The 16505-nt window shown below is 40.0% G+C and overlaps 1 protein-coding gene across 6 annotated transcripts in view, besides 1 other annotated feature; it reads right to left on the reverse strand.

Annotated features, from left to right (window-relative positions):
- SHCBP1 (SHC binding and spindle associated 1) overlaps positions 1–16505 on the reverse strand; it is a 42789-nt gene that overhangs the window by 20206 nt on the left and 6078 nt on the right. For 5 of the 6 annotated variants that reach the window (NR_136738.2, NM_001324318.2, NM_024745.5 and 2 more), the window contains exons 5-9: positions 9501–9593; positions 5432–5665; positions 5179–5347; positions 4743–4863; positions 1035–1166 (exon numbers count right to left, since the gene is read on the reverse strand). Coding sequence is in view for 5 of the 6 variants with exons in the window: in NM_001324318.2 (NP_001311247.1) it covers positions 1035–1166; positions 4743–4863; positions 5179–5347; positions 5432–5665; positions 9501–9593 (749 nt within the window). In the remaining variant the exon portion in view is untranslated. The remainder of the gene's footprint in view (positions 1–1034; positions 1167–4742; positions 4864–5178; positions 5348–5431; positions 5666–9500; positions 9594–16505) is intronic. The other variant, NM_001324319.2, reaches the window with a different exon arrangement.
- Positions 13290–13389: an enhancer, noted in NCBI's record as "active region_10770". NCBI's record gives its function as "activates an Ori minimal core promoter by ATAC-STARR-seq in GM12878 lymphoblastoid cells {active_cell/tissue: GM12878}" and the evidence as "EXISTENCE:reporter gene assay evidence [ECO:0000049][PMID:35858748]".

Here is a 16505-nt window from a genome sequence, read left to right on the forward strand (position 1 = left end):
TGTTGTTTAGTGTATCCACCTTCATCGATTACCTTAGCTAGATCTTCTGGTTAACTTTCTGTAGCTTGCATCAGCACTTGCTGCTTCACCTTGCACTTTTATGTTACAGAAATGGCTGCTTTCCTTAAACCTCATGAACCAACAGCTGCTAGTTTCAAACTCTTCTTCTACAGCTTCCTCACCTCCTTCAGTCTTCACAGAATTGAAGGAAGTTAGGGTTCTGCTCTGCAATACGCTCTGATTTAAGGAATGTGGTGGCTGATTTGATCTTCCATCCAGACTACAGAAACTTTCTCCATATTAGCAATAAGACTGTTTCACTTTCTTATCATTCATGTGTTCACTAGAGTAGTGCTTTTAATTTCCTTTATGAACTTTTCCTTTACATTCAAAACTTCACCAACTGACACAAGAGACCTAGGTGTCAGCCTATCTCAGCTTTCGACATGCCTTCCTCACTATGTTAAACATTTCTAATTTTTAAATTTAACATGAGAGACATGTGACTCTTCCTTTCACTTGAACACATAGATGCCATTGTAGGGTTATTAACTGGCCTAATTTCAATATTGCTGTGTCTCAAGGAATAGGGTAGCCCAAAGAGAAGGAGAGAGATAGGGGAATGGCTGATCGGTGGAACAGTCAAAACCCACACAATTATCAGTTAAGTTCACCATCTTTTATGGATGTGGTTCATGGCACCCCAAAACAATTACAGTAGTAACATCAAGATCACTGTTCACAGATCAGCATATTATCTATATTGTGAGAGTTACCAAAATGTGACACAGAAACACAAGGTGAGCATATGCTCTTGGGAAAATGGTGCCGACAGACTGGCTTGAAACAGGGTTGCCACAACCTTCAATTTGTAAAAAAAAAAAAAAAAAAAAAAACTCAGCATCGTGAAGTGCAATAAAACAAGGTATGCCTGTACTCAAGAGTGGCATTTCATTAAATTCTATCTTCCATAGAGAGAACCGTTTACCTTCAAATCTTAGAACAAATGATATACCAAACATTCAGATACTTACTTAAGATTCCCTCTACAGCATCATGCTGAACAAATTTTATGCCTGAGATTTTAATATCAGCACCAGTGCAGTCCACAAAAGTGTCGCCTTTGCCCCTCTTTTCTATCACAATGTCATCTGGTAGGCCATATCCTAAGGAAGAGAGAGCAACAACACTCAAGATGGGTGAGGAAAAACATCTAAACGTGAACACTGTAGAACAAGTTTCTCTAGTTTAAATGACTGCAGATGATAATGAGACCAGTCAACCATGTTGCATTTAAATAAAATCTATCTCCCCACATATCCTGTTTAATTTAAATCAGGGTATCCAATTTTTAACAATAACAACTCTCTGACTAGTCCCGTATCAGGAAGACTACCCTATCAACTATCCCACATCAGCTCAGTACTAAATTCACTTTCAAAAGTGCTATAAAAAATAAATAATGTTCAAGACCAGCCTAGGCAACACAGTGAGATTCCATCTCTACAAAAACCAAAAAAATTAGTCAGGCATGGTGGCATGCACCAATTACTCACTACTCAAGGAGGCTAAGGTGGGAGGGTCACTTGATCCCAGAATTTTAAGGCTGCAGTAAGCTATGATCATGCCATTGCACTCCAGCCTTCATTCTGGGTGACAGAATGAGACCCCATCTCAAAAAATGATAATAATAATAATAAGGACTTACAGCTGAGTCAAAGAACTTTAAAGCACTCACCCTTAGAAGTTTGTTTCTAACTCTAACATTCTATGATTCTAATATAAATTACATTTGAATAAACCTAAACAGTTCTCAAGATGATCTAATTTTAATATTCTCTTAAACAGTTGGCTTAAAATCTGACAAACTGACTAGTTACAGTTACAGGAAAAAAACAGTCTACCTCATTAACAAATAAAAAGCATCAGATCAAGGCTGGGTACGGTGGCGCACGCCTGTAATCCCAGCACTTTGGGAGGCTGAGGCAGGTGGATCACTTGAGGTCAGGAGTTCAAGAGCAGCCTGGCCAACATACAGAAATCCTGCCTCTACTAAAAATATAAAAATTAGCCGAGTGTGGCATGTGCCTGTAATCCCAGCTTCTCAGGAGGCCGAGGTGGGAGAATTGCTTGAACCTGGGAGGCGGAGATTGCAGTGAGAGGAGATCGTGCCACTGCACTCCAGCCTGGGTGACAGTGACTCTGTCTCAAAAAAAAAGCATCAGATCTCAGTGAGGTGCAGTGGCTCACGCCTATAATCCTAGCACTTTGGGAGGCCAGGGCAGGTGGATCACTTGAGGTCAGGAGTTCGAGACCAGCCTGGCCAACATGGAGAAACCCTGTCTCTACTAAAACTACAAAAATTAGCCAGGCATGGTGGCAGGCACCAGTAATCCCAGCAACTCAGGAGGCTGAGCCAGGAGAATCGCTTGAACCCAGGAGACAGAGGCTGCAGTGAACTGAGATCACACCACTGCACTCCAGCCTGGGCGACAGAGCAAGACTCCACCTCAAAAAAACAAAAACAAAAAAACCATCAGATCTGTATAAATCTTACTCAAACCATTAATGCAAGCCAAACACCTGAGTGGGCTTACAAAAAACTAGAGTATCAGAAAACTAAAGAATTCGCTTGACTTCCATTATAAAACAGAACCACATAGACAAAGCTGTAAGAAATAACTCTCATTGACTAAAGACGAATCTTTGAGTAAATGAAAGCAGTAACTGTTTTTAACAAGCAAAGCCGCTCAATGTATCTACACTGGAAGAGGACAAACAAGGCTTTGGGGGCCCTAGAGAATGCAAGGGGACTCCACACACTGGAATGCTACCAGGGGTGGACTCTGGATGCCTGAATTATGAGTGATTTTGTTTCTGATTGTTGTATGTATCTGACTGTACTTGGCATATTTTCTACAATAACCATTGCTTTTTATCATCAGAAAAATTAAAAGTACAAAAAGAATTGCATATTGAGAAAAGATTTTTACACAAATTTTTATATAATTATGTATTTCTTTCCACTTAAAACATAAAACCATTACCTAAATGAATGGATTTTCAAAACAAGAAAGAAAAACCCTATTGTAAGTACTATTGACACCCTGCACATAGTAGGTACTCAATATATATCTCTTGTTATATTGGTTAGCTATAGATCACTATCAGATGAGCTTGAATCTTACTCATGAACACTCCATATATGCACACTAGAGATACCTTGTGATTCCCCAATTCTCAGACCCATACTGTTAGTCAATATACAGCCATTTTTATACTTAACTATCAGCATTCTATATGTCCATTTATGACACTCTGGCAATTACATTAAAATTTCCTCACCAATCTAGGAAGAACTCTTATCTACCATACAAACTATAATATCAGTGTTATTTCCACTATGCCAAAAAATAAAGTGTTTTTATCACAGTGATTTATCTTGCAGATGTGTTATTTATATACACACATCTATTATACATCAAAAATTGGAGAGTAGAAAAGAACAAAAATTACACACATAAAATAAAAAAGGGGGTGAGATGATGTACTAGGAACAGGAGAAAACTAAACTTCCAGCTTCAGTTCCATTTAGAAGTACTGACAAGATAAAGAGCATAGCTTAAGCAGTTTCTGAACAGCTGCACAAGTCCCAAAATGATATATGATTTTTTGCATTACAAGCTTCACTGCTAACTTGAAGCTATTTTGATAAATAGTTGAACAGGTGTAACTAAATTTGACATGTTATGAAAATATACAGGACCAAGATGAACAATTGTAAAGTAACCTAAATTTAGAAATCACTCTAAATGAACAATAAGATTATAACTGTGAAAAAGTTATTTTTTTTAGACAGAGTCTTGCTCTGTCACCCAGGCTGAAGCATAGTAGTATGATCTTGGCTCATTGCAACCTCCACCTCCCAGGTTCAAGCGATTGTTCTGCCTCAGCCTCCCAAGTAGCTGGGATTACAGGCGTGCAACAACATGCCCGGCTAATTTTTGTATTTTTAGTACCGACGGGGTTTCACCATGTTAGCCAGACTGGTCTCAAACTCCTGGCCTCAAGTGATCTGCCCACCTCGGCCTCCCAAAGTGCTGGGATTACAGGCGTAAGCCACCACACCCAGCCCAAAAAGTTATTTTTAATAGAATCTTTCAACATTAATCTTTTCTAAAGTATACTTTGGTCAAGACACAAAGTGTAGCATTTGTGACATTCGGCAAGCATTTAGAGAATTAAGATAATTGGTACCAATTTCAAGTTAAATGCCCTTCATTATACCTCTCACGAAAATAAGCTAAGTGTGAAACAAAAAACAAAAAGCCATGCACTAACATATCTGCAACATCTATGAGATAAGAGCAAGCAACAAATTTTTAAAATACTAAAATTTTTAAAAATATTGCTAGGAATTTTTTTTTAATTCTAGAAATTAGATTTCCTTTCCATAAACCACCTACAATCTGGAAAGTATGCTTCTTCCTAATGGTCTTTTTTCTATATGAGCCTGTGAACATCTCCCCAACATACACACTGCTACAAAGAACCACAACTCAAATTGCTGAAACACTGGGTCAACCTCTTTTCAGCTTTCCATGTCCTTAATGTTTCAAGGCAGCTCACTAGAAATCAAATGGGTTCAAATCACATTCTTGGAGTTTCAACAAGATTGGTGATTTATTGTTTACTTAAACATATCACGTGTGAGAGTTTGGTTGTGTGTCTTCCATACTCACCTTCCAACTCAATGGAGTCAGCAATGGAGAAAGTGCCATGTACCACATAATGGCCAGGACAAACAATAACAGTGTCACCTTCGAAGCAGGCATTTATAGCAGACAATGGATCACTATGGAACTAGAAAACAATAAGAACACATTTGTAAATATACACTCCCAAAAAAGTAATTTGAGTATTACTCTAGGTGACTTCATGTCTTACTTTGAAAATGGAAGCCAAAAACTGCATATTGAAGCATCTCCTTTGATAGCGCACTGACCTAACACATGCCTGGTAAGTGACTACTGCTGATGAAAGGCAGGGCTCTCACTACTTCCCATGCACAGAAAACCGTCTTGGGAAAGCTCCTGTAAATACTTTGTGGGATTTGTGAAAACCTGTGGTGAATCAGAAGGAAAAAAAGCCACCTGGAGTGAGAAACTCTCCGTTTACCTGAATTTCTCTTTCTTCCTCACCAGGCTCCTGGCAAAGCCTGTCCGTAAGCAGGGACCGCAGGAGACCAGCCATCATGGTGGAGGAGACCACATGAGTGATCTTCTGACCGCTGGAACGGACACCCTTTGCTTGGATGTTAGAATTCTTCTGATAACCAAACACATACCTTAAAGAAACGAAACAGGCCTATCAGTAAGACAGCAAGTAAGAAAAGATGCTGACTAACTAAGAATTACAAAGACACACATACCTCAACAAAGGATTCTCAATGAGTTTCAGCTTTTGTTTCAACTGTTCCATCTCCGAATACAATTTTAACCCTTCCACCATGGAGATATTTTCCTGCTCGGAATCAGAGTTACAATTTGACAAACTGCTTCTCAGATTTAAAAATTTCCTGTAACTCTCCTCACATTGAGACAACAGATTGTGGTAGTCAACAATAAGTCCTGATGGAACTCGGTCTTCAAGAATGTCATAATGCCTGAAAGTTTAAAAGCAAAGTGAAATCCACTGCCTTTCAGGCACATTTTCCTATCATTAAAACAGCCCACTTAGCCCTCAAAGACCCAGTAAGAGTTTTACAGTATATAACTCAGGTGCATGTTAAGTCTTTCTGAATAGCACTGTAATAATAATAATAATAAGTGGAAGCTGTTGAAAATTTAAAGCACCACTTCCTTAAGGTCACTAATTTTTCTGCTCTTGAGGAGTTTTTACTTTCTTTCTTGGATCCAAGCATTTGTGCTTTAGAAACACTGAAAGTTCAGGTTACACAATTTTATTATTTAATAAGAAATTATTTTCTTCTCATATATTAGATTCAAAAGCTTAATAAGAAGGTGGCAGGGGGCAATTTGGGAGTAGGGGTAGGGAGAGCAGTTTCTCAAATTGTTTCACAACAATGTTTAAGATTACTATATTTTTCATGGATCTGAATACGACTTTAAAAATTTTTTTAAGGTTATCATATTTATAGGATCAAAAAGTAGAAATGACTCAAACAATCTAGTCCCTCCTTCCATTTAAAGCACTATGGCACAAAATTATGCTGAATATTCCCTAAGGAAGATTATTAAAGAATTTCAAAAAATAAGCCCTTGAGATTCCGAGGGGGAAAAAAAGGTGCCATTACTAATCTAGAGAGTGACTGAAACAAAATGACCTTGTACTGGACAACCATACTGGCACTTCAAATGTATTAATTTATAAACTTTCTCAAATATAAAAACAGAATACAGAGTATTTCTAGATGCAATAAAATAATTTGTAAATGCACAATCAAGTTAACAGATATAAAATTAATGGGTTTAAAAATAAAGTAAAATAGGCCAGGCACAGTGGCTCACACCTGTAATCCCAGCACTTTGGGAGGCCAAGGCAGGCAGATCACTTGAGCCCAGGAGTTTGAGGCCAGCCTGGGCAACATGGCAAAACCCTGTCACTACAAAAATACAAAAATGAGCCTGGTGTGATGGCATGCACTTGTAGTCTCAGCTACTTGGGAGGCTGAGGTGGGAGGATGGCTTGAGCCCCAGGGGTCAAGGCTGCTGTGAGATCTAATTATGCCACTGTACTCCGTACTCCAGCCTGGGCAACAGAGCAAGACCCTGTCTCAAAAAACAAACAAACAAACAAACAGATGCTCAGGGCCCCATCCAGACCAATTAAATGGGTCTCTGGACATACAAGGGTATTTTTTTAAGTTCCCTGGGGATGCTAATGTGTAGCCAAGAGTGAGAACGATTGCCTTAAATGATGTTGTTTTTTTTTAATTTAGTCATGCTCTAAATAAGATAGGGAAAAACAAATGCAAGATAGAACCATATCTTAAACAAATTTACATCAGACTATGAACACTTAAACATTTTGAATGAATAAAAAAGAAACTTTTCCCGCTTTTCAAGTAAGTGAATTAGGTGAAGCTTGAAAAGCAAGGATTTTGTCTACTTTGGTTAATCCGAAAGAAACTGAGTGAACAGCTGTGAAAAAAAAAGGGAAAAACAAAAAAATTTAAAAATTTTAAAAATAAAAAAAAGAAATTGAGGATGAAACCATGTTCTACTAAGTTGTGAAGATTAAGACTCAAATTTTAAAATAAGTCTCTTAGCACTTCCAGTATCCATGCCCGTTAGCTTATTTCTTTTCATTTCTTTTCATTATATTGATACTTCATAGTCTAAAAGCAATGAAGTAACATTTGTGTCACAGATCCCGAAGTTCTGAAGCAGTGTTGGTTTTTTTCAGACCTCCTTTAGTCACATATAAGCAGTGTGTTTTGAAGCAGAAAGGAAAAATTTACTGCACAGTACAAAATCCAGACACTCTGGTTTGATCTTGCCTGTTGATAGCCCCACTCCTATCTTAGCCCAGAGACCTTTTTTAAGTCTGCCTACATTTGATAACATTCCAGTCTCTCCATCAAGTACCACCGTGTCTTCTGCAAAACTACACACGATTCCTCCCTTATGCCATCCCATCTGCCAGTGATGTACAAGCTATGCATGTAAGTCATTGCTTGTCGTTAGCACATGCAAGGCTATCAAATCAGAATACAATTTTTTTCCAAGTAAAGATTGAATTTGTCCGATATACGTTATGTTCCCTTATCATATTTCATGTCAATCAAAATCAATCATTTCTTTTTAAGAGCAAAGGTATCAAACCTAGAAAATACTCAAGCTTATTGAAATTTTGGGATTTTATTGAATATGCTATGGAAAAATAGGAAATGCACAATGGAAAAACTGGAAAGCCTAAATAGAAATCATAGCCCATTTACGAAGAGCTAAAATCACACATACATAATTCTAAACCAGGTAGAACTATTAATCAGACTTTCAAACTTTTTTTTTTTTTTTGAGACAAAGTCTTGCTCTGTCACCTAGGCTGGAGTGCAGTGGTTCAATCACAGCTCATTGCAGCTTCAAACTCCTGGACTCAAGCAATCTTCCTGCCTCAGCCTCCCCAGCAGCTGGGACTAGAGGCATGCCCTAACACACCCAGCTAATTTTTTTTTTTAGGTTTCGTAGAGGTGGGGTCTCACTATGTTGCCCAGGCTGGTCTCAAACTCCTAAGGTCAAGAGGTCTTCCCGGGCTGGGCACGGTGGCGCAGTCCTGTAATCCCAGCACTTTGGGAGGCGGAGGCAGGCAAATCACTTGAGGTCAGGAGTTCGAGACCAGCCTGGCCAACATGGTGAAACCCTGTCTCTACTAAAAATACAAAAATTAGCTCGGTGTGGTGGCATGCACCTGTATTCACAGCTAGTCAGGAGGCTGAGGTGGGAGGGACACTTGAGCCCAGGAGATTGAGGCTGCAGTGAGTGACATCACACTGCTGCACTCCAGCCTGGGCAACAGAGTGAGAGCTTGTCTCAAAAAAGTTGTCTTCCTCCTTCAGCCTCCCAAATTACTGGGATTACAGGTGTGAGTCACCATGCCGGGCCTCACACATTTTTTATTTTATTATTATTTACTATTTAAGCCAAGAGAAACTCACTAAATCGACTTGAGTTCCACAAAAATGTAAAGGCTTACTGCCTTATCTTCTCATCTCATCTTTCACACAGGGGAAAAAAATCATCTTTCAAACGGGGGGAAAAAAATCATCTTTCACCCAGGGAAAAAATTACCTTCTACAATTATTTTTTTGGAGTGCAATTTATAATTTTATTATTATTGCAGCATTGCCTATGAAGTTACTGCTTATGAATACAAGAAAAAATTACTGGTCTTAAAGCACCATCTAGTGGGGAGATAAATGCCACATTTAATAAGGTCATTAAGATTTAAGGCAGGAGGCTGACAAAATATCCTAAGGTAGATCTGCTAGTTCAGCCTGCTGTGTTTCACTGCAGAAACTTAGAGTAAAGCCATATACCTTTAAAGTATTCTTTACAAAATTAAAGCCAAAAAGTCTTCTATAATTCAAATAATGTCACTGTTTTTCAAACAATCGAATTTAACAAAGGGCTTCTTAACCCACTAGTTCAATGTTCAATTGAATTTTATTCAAATTAACAAAACAGTGAGCTACTAATTTAGATGTTCTTGAACTTCCTGCTTTTAGACTCAATTTATAAACACTAAAAGCAAGTTTCTCTGCACTTGTACAAGTTTCATTTAATGACTTGTCAAGGGGTGGTACAATTTGTACATCAGTTTATTTCTGTCTATGAGATCCTGGAAAGAAAATCAGAGAGAGAGAGTGAGTGAGTGAGTGTGGGTGTGTGTGTGTGTGTGTATCTCACACAGGCAAAATTAAACCATGGGTAACTATTTTTCCAACATGTACAACAAGGTCAGCAATAAATACTTACAATCTTAATCGAGGTTCAACACATCTGACAAAATAATCGTATTCATCCTCCTCTTCTTCATCCCAACTCCTCCAAATGTTTTGGTAGAAAAATCTGAAATGGAACTTAGTATCATTCAAATTCTATCACTGGCTCAAAACATTAGGATTTTGGAGGGGTGAGAGCTAAAGAGTAAATCAAAACAATTCTCATATCTTAGAGAATGCTGCATATTTGCTATGGTTGATAGTCATGAGTCACACAACATAGAGACCTTTTTTGGATCAGCTAAAGAAGAGAAGTTTCTCCACACTGGTTTTGTTAGGACTTTTTTTTTTTTTTTTTTGAGACACAGTCTCACTCTGTCTCTGGGGCTGGAGTGCAATGGCGTGATCTTGGCTCACTGCAACCTCCGCCTCCTGGGTTCAAGTGATTCTCCTGCCTCAGCCTCCCGAGTAGCTGAGATGGCACCCACCACCACACCCAGCTAATTTTTTGTATTTTTAGTAGAGATGGGGATTCACCATGTTGGCCAGGCTGGTCTCAAACTCCTGACCTCATGATTCACCCGCCTCGGACTCCCAAAGTGCTGGGATTACAGGCATGAGCCACCGCGCCCAGCCAGGACTTTCTTTTTATTGGAAGAATTATTTATTGACCACCAGTACCTGGCTGGATGGTAGTGCCATTTGTTGAGACAAAAAACACTGAGAGAGAAACAGGTTTGGGATTGAAAATAACAGAGGAATATACAGCCCAAAGCTCCAGGGAAAGGTCAGGGCTGGAAACATAAACCTGGTAGCTATCAACACATTGATGGTGTTAAAGCAATGTATAAGATCACGTAAGGACATAATCATAAGGCAGTGGTTCTCAACCCTCATTGTACATTGGAGTTCCCTGGGACACTTTTAAAAATTGATTCCCCTGCAATTCCAGCTACTCAAGAAGCCAAGGCACAAGAATCGCTTGAACTGGGAGGCCGGGGCTGCAGTGAAGCGAGATCGCACCACTGCACTCCAGCCTGGGCAACACAGTGAGATTCTTTCTCAAAATAAATAAATTTAAAAACAAGAACAATTAGTTCCCTCTCCCAGACCAAGCAATCAGAATCTGGTGGGGTGGGGAAGGTGCAAGGGAATCATCAGCATCCACACTTTTCTTTTCTTTTTTTTTTTTTTTTTTTTTTTTTTGAGATGGAGTCTCGCTCTTGTGGCCCAGGCTGGAGTGCAGTGGCGCCATCTTGGCTCACTGCAACCTCTGCCTCCTGGGTTCGAGCAATTCTCCTGCCTCAGCCTCCTGAGCAGCTGGGATTACAGGCAACCGCCACCACGCCTGGCTTATTTTTGTACTTTTAGTAGAGAGGCATTTTGCCATGTTGGCCAGGCTGGTCTTGAACTCCTGACCTTAGGTGATCCCCCCTGCCTCGGTCTCCCAAAGTGCTGGGATTACAGGCATGAGCCACCGTGCCCAGTTGTATCCATATTTTTTTAAAGCTCTCCAAGTGATTTAACAAATTTATTATGGAAAATCCTAAACATATACAACAACAGAGAAAATAGTATGATGAATACCATGTATCATGAGGCAGCTTCAACAATTACCAACTCACAGTCTTATTTCATCTCTGCCTCACCCAGGCACCCTCTGCTCTCCTCCCCCACCATCTTGATATTGGATTTTTTTTTTTTTCAGATGGAGTTTTGCTCTTGTTGCCCAGGCTGGAGTGCAACGGTGCGATCTCGTCTCACTGGAACCTCCAGCTCCTGGGTTCAAGTAATTCTCCTGCCTCAGCCTCCCTAGTAGCTCAGATTACAGGCACCCGCCACCACGCCCAGCTAATTTTTTGTATTTTTCGTAGAGATAGGGTTTCACTATGTTGGCCAGGCTGGTCTCAAACTGACCTCAGGCAACCCACCCACTTCAGTCTCCCAAATATACTGGATTATTTTGAACCAATCTCACACACATCAAATCATTCACAAATTTTTAGTATGTATCTCTAAAATAAATCTTTATACCAAAAGTTTTAATTCCTTAATATTACCAAATATCCAGTGTTCAAATTCCCCTAATTGTCTCCTGCTGCTCTTTCACAGTTGACTTGTTCCAATCAGGCACCAAATGAGGGTCCGCTTCTGCCCTTTGACTGACACATTTCTTAAATCGCTGTTAGCCTACACATTACCTCTCCCTCTTTTTTCCCTTGCAATTTATTGACTAATTTCCCCCACTCTAAATTTTGGTGATTACATCCCCATGGGGTCAATTTTTTTTTTTTTTTTTTTTTTTTTTTTTGAGACAGTGTGGTGCTCTGTTGCCCAGGATGGAGTGCAGTAGTAGCATGACCTCGGCTCACTGCAGCCTCCGCCTCCTGGGTTCAAGCGATTCTCCTGCCTCAGCCTCCCGAGTAGCTGGGATTACAGGCACGCGCTACCACGCCCTGCTATTTTTTGTATTTTCAGTAGAGATGGGGTTTCGCCATGTTGTCTAGGCTGGTCTCGAACTCCTGGGCTAAAATGATCCGCCCACCTTGGCCTCCCAGAGTGCTACAATTACAGGTGCACCCAGTCCCCATGGGTCATTTAACATGTACTTTATGTTATTTCTAGTAAACTGACAGTAAGATCTACAGACCTGCAGGCCTTCAGGAAGGATTTTTTGCAAGAATACTTCAAGGGAGGTGTAATGTACTTCAGTCAAGAAGCAGGAAGAGCAGAGCCTCATTCCTGGCCAAAGCCACTGTCTGTGTGGAGTATGTACATTTTTCCCATGTCCGCATGGGTTTTCTCCAGGTACTCTGATTTCCTCCCACATCCCAAAGATGCGCACATGAGGTGAATTCTGTGTCTACCTTGTCCCAGTCTGAGTGTGGGTGTGTGAGTGCACTCTGTGATGAAATGGGCTCCTGTCCACAGCTGGTTCCTGCCTTGCACCCTGAACTACGGGAATAGGCTTTGGCCACCTGCAACCCTGAACTGGAATAAGCAGGTTGGAAAGTGAATGAATACAAATTACTGTCAAACAAAAATTCATAAAGTATACAATAATCATACAAATGCACAACAATGAATGCTGTGGCATGAAATCGCTCAGTGAGCCCACTATGTTTGTCATTGTTTTGAAGTGGGTGATGGCAGGAGGTGCTCCTTATAATTTCCGCTTTGCAAACATTTATTCCTTGATTTACTCGTCACCACAATGACCACTGTCACTCACTGTTTCACCAAAAATTGGAAATTGGGTCAATAATTATCTTGTTTGCATTAATATTTCTTAATGTATATATAGTTCACATTTATTTCAATGTTTAAGATTAGAATTGTTTGGGGTCTTTATTTAGAAGTTTGATGATGTTTTCATGACCAGAAATATGCTGTAGAAACTTTAACTTTTGTTTATATCAGTCAGCCTATGGTAAAATTGGTTTCATTAACATCACAGTTTCTAAGAACCTACCAACAACAGTAACTGAGGACTTTATTACAATGCCTGGCCATGTCTTTTTGTGAGGTTCAGATTGATCAACAGATACAGGTTGTCAACCTGATCCACCCTCTATAAAGTTCTCTTTCCCTAATGGTTGCAGCAGTCATCGATGTTCACTGTCTAGAACCTTTATTTCATTAGTGGTTACAAAATACTGATATTCTATCACTTTCTTCATGTATTGGTTGGAATACTTTTATAAAGAAATTCCTCAGGTGATTCCAAAGTGGTTCCAAGGTTGATTAGGGAAAAAACAGTAGATGGCCTAGGACTGATCCCTGGGTAACTCTGACATTCTAAAGTTTGAGCATGAGAGGAAAAGCTGGCCAAGATGACTGAGAAAGCAAGCCAGTAAGACACCAGCTGAACAGTGGTGTCCCAGAAGCTGAGAGGAGAGGGTGTGAAGAAGATGGGAATGATCAAATACCTAGAATGTCAAGACGTTAAGCAAGATGAGATCAGAGGCAGGATGAGATCAGTGAAACGTTGACTGAATACAAGAACATGGAAGTCTTTGAGCATAATTTCAGAGATGAGGTCAGGGTAGAAGAGTTACTGAGACACCAGGAAGTATAGACTGTGATTATATATAACTCTTTCAAGAAGTTCTGCTGTGAAAAGGAAGCACTGAAAATGAAACCAGCCATCTCCTAATTATTGTAGATTGGGCTGTTAGTCCCTTCACCCTCTAGTGGAGTCTTTTGTTGTTGTTGTTGTTGTTGTTGTAATGAACTTAAGCATGCCTCTACTCGATTGAAAAAACCTCTGCTGGCTCCCTTTTAGCCCTCAAAAAGAAGTCCTGAACGTGGTACTATAAATAGATTCATAATCTGGCCCTATTGCGCCTCTCCTGCCTCAGAGCCGTTGTACCTAAACTCTCAATTTCACAAGCTCTTTCAAACCTCCATGTAACTTGTTAGTCAAGCTGCCAGAAGTGCCTTCCACCTTTTCCACCTGGTAAGCTTATAGTTCTATTCCATGACTCGGCTCCAATATCATCCTCACCAGTACCATGCCAAGCATTTACACATCATTCCCTTCTGTACCTCCCGCAGTGTTGATTCTTTCAAGCCAGAAATGTGGAAGTCAGCCTTGACTTCTCTCACCTCACTTACATCTTCTCATCTCTGATATCCACTCGACCACCAAGTCCAGCCATTGTACTTTCTCAGTAAGCCTCCATCCGTCCTCTCTATATCCCCACTCTAGTCCTCTCTCTTGCGTCTTAACTGGTCTACCAATTCCATCTCCCACCATTTGTTTTCTACACAGAAGCCACAATGAACCCCTGAAAACACAAAGCAGCACTTTAGGGGACTGAGGTGGGAGGACTGCTTGAGCCCAGGAGTTCGAGACCAGCTTGGGCAACACAACGAGACCCCCATCTCTACAGAAAAATGTTGTTAAAAAACTAGCTGGCTAGTGGTGGCACATGCCTATAATCCCAGCTGATCCAGAGGCTGAGGCAAGAGGATGCCTTGAGCCCCACAGTTCGAGCCTGCATTGAATCACATGATTGCACCACTGTACTCCAGCCTAGGCAACAGAATAATACCGTGTTTCCAAAAAAACAAAAACACAAAACACAAAACTAGTCATATTCACCCAAGAATAAAAATCCTTCAGTGGCTTCCCACTGCTCTTAAAGACAAAAATGACTAACCAGCTAACAAATCCCCGCACTGTCTGGCCCCTGCCAGCCTCTCTAATCTCATTTCCTAGGTCTCTCTCAGCACTGTCTGTGTTCCAGCCATGCTGGCCTTTCAGCTCCTTAAACACACTGAGCTCCCAAATCTTTTCCCTTCCCCACCCCTGCCTCCCCTTTCACACAGCTAACCCAAGTTCAAATGTCATTATTCCAGTAAATAACCCTAGAACAGCAACTTGACCTAATTTTAGGACACTCTGTAATTCATCACAGCACTCACTGCTATTTCCAATCATGCAGACATCTGTGCGTGATTATTTCATCAAGGCTCATCTCCCACCTTTAGACTGACAGCTCCCTGATGATGGTGTGTCTCATGCACCAGACATACCCCATCCTTGACTAAGGACCTGGCACTCAAATATTCATTGAATCAACGAACAAATGAAATCCCTCATAATTTGACCTTCACTGGGCACTGATCCAAATCTCAGCCCTCCAAATGAAGTGTAAATTTAACCAGGCTCCTCCTCAAATAATACTACCAAATAACATTCCAGATACTTATTTTTCCACGAACTTCTATGCCCATAGAGATTAGCTCCCTGATTCCTAATTTCCTAAACTTATCAGTTATCACTTTATCTTCAAATGCTTCAATTGACAGATTTTTTTTAATGAGAAAAATAGAAGGGAGTTATTTTGGTTCTGGACAGAAACCGGTTCTTTAGATTCATTCTGCTTGGCCCAATACTGAACATCTAGGGTTAAATGTTCTTGCATACAATTAGAAACTGTCCGTAAGATGTTGGCAGCAGGGCCTGAAACACTCTGCTTCTTTGCAGAGCATTCGAGTTAAGCTCAGCAAAACCACGTTAACTCACTAATGGTATAGAAAATAGAAAGTACTTTTTATACTACAAAACACCAAGCAATGTTATTTACATTATGGTCATTATATATTGCTCAGTCTTCTAGTTCCTGAAGGAATATGGGTCTATTTTTAAATAGCTACAAGTAAGCCTTCTTTGGCGAAGATACAAAATAACTATCTATATCAGGAACTATCCAATAAAAGATTGATCTGAAAAATTGTTGAAATCATACCCACTGATCCAGGTATGGGCTTTCTTTCCCAAGGAAGGGACAAGGGGTCCACTTGTGCAGTGGAAATAACTATGGCAAAAAAGACTCACAGGCAGGAATACATCCCCTAAGGATCCTAGAAGCAGCCTAAGAAAACACTTGCTTTGACCAGACATATGCTTGAAAAAAATGTGTATTCGTCTTTTAGCAGTACACACACCATAGTATATAACCTTCTTCACTGTCTTTCTCTTCTTCTACTTTCTGTACTCTTGTATTGAAATATACCGACCATAAGCCTTAACATCCACAACTTTTAAGTCAGTTTATAAATATATACAAACCCAATTAAGAATCCCCTACTTTTGTTAACATTTGTGAAAACCAAGTAAAAGATAAACAGGAATTCTTTATACACTTGACCCTTGAAGAACACAGGTCTGAATTTTGTGGGGTCCACTGATAATTTACACTGAGTGTGCCAGCATCTCCTGCCTCCCTTTCCACCTCTCCTCCACCTGTTTTGCCTCTGCCGCCCCTGAGGCAGCAAGACCAATCCCTCTTCTTCCTCTTCCTCCTCTGGTGAAGATGATGAGGATAAAGACCTTTATGATGATCCACTTCCACTTAATGAGTAGTAAATACATTTTCTCTTCCTTATGAATTTCTTAACATTTCCTTTTTTCTAGCACTTTATTATAAGATAATACACATAACATAGAAAATATGTCCTAATCAACTATTTATGTTAATGGTAAGGCTTCTTTTCTGGTCAACAGTAAGTTATTAGTAGTTAAGTTTTG

Source organism: Homo sapiens, chromosome 16 (assembly GCF_000001405.40).
Source record: "Homo sapiens chromosome 16, GRCh38.p14 Primary Assembly".
Lineage (NCBI taxonomy): Eukaryota > Metazoa > Chordata > Mammalia > Primates > Hominidae > Homo > Homo sapiens.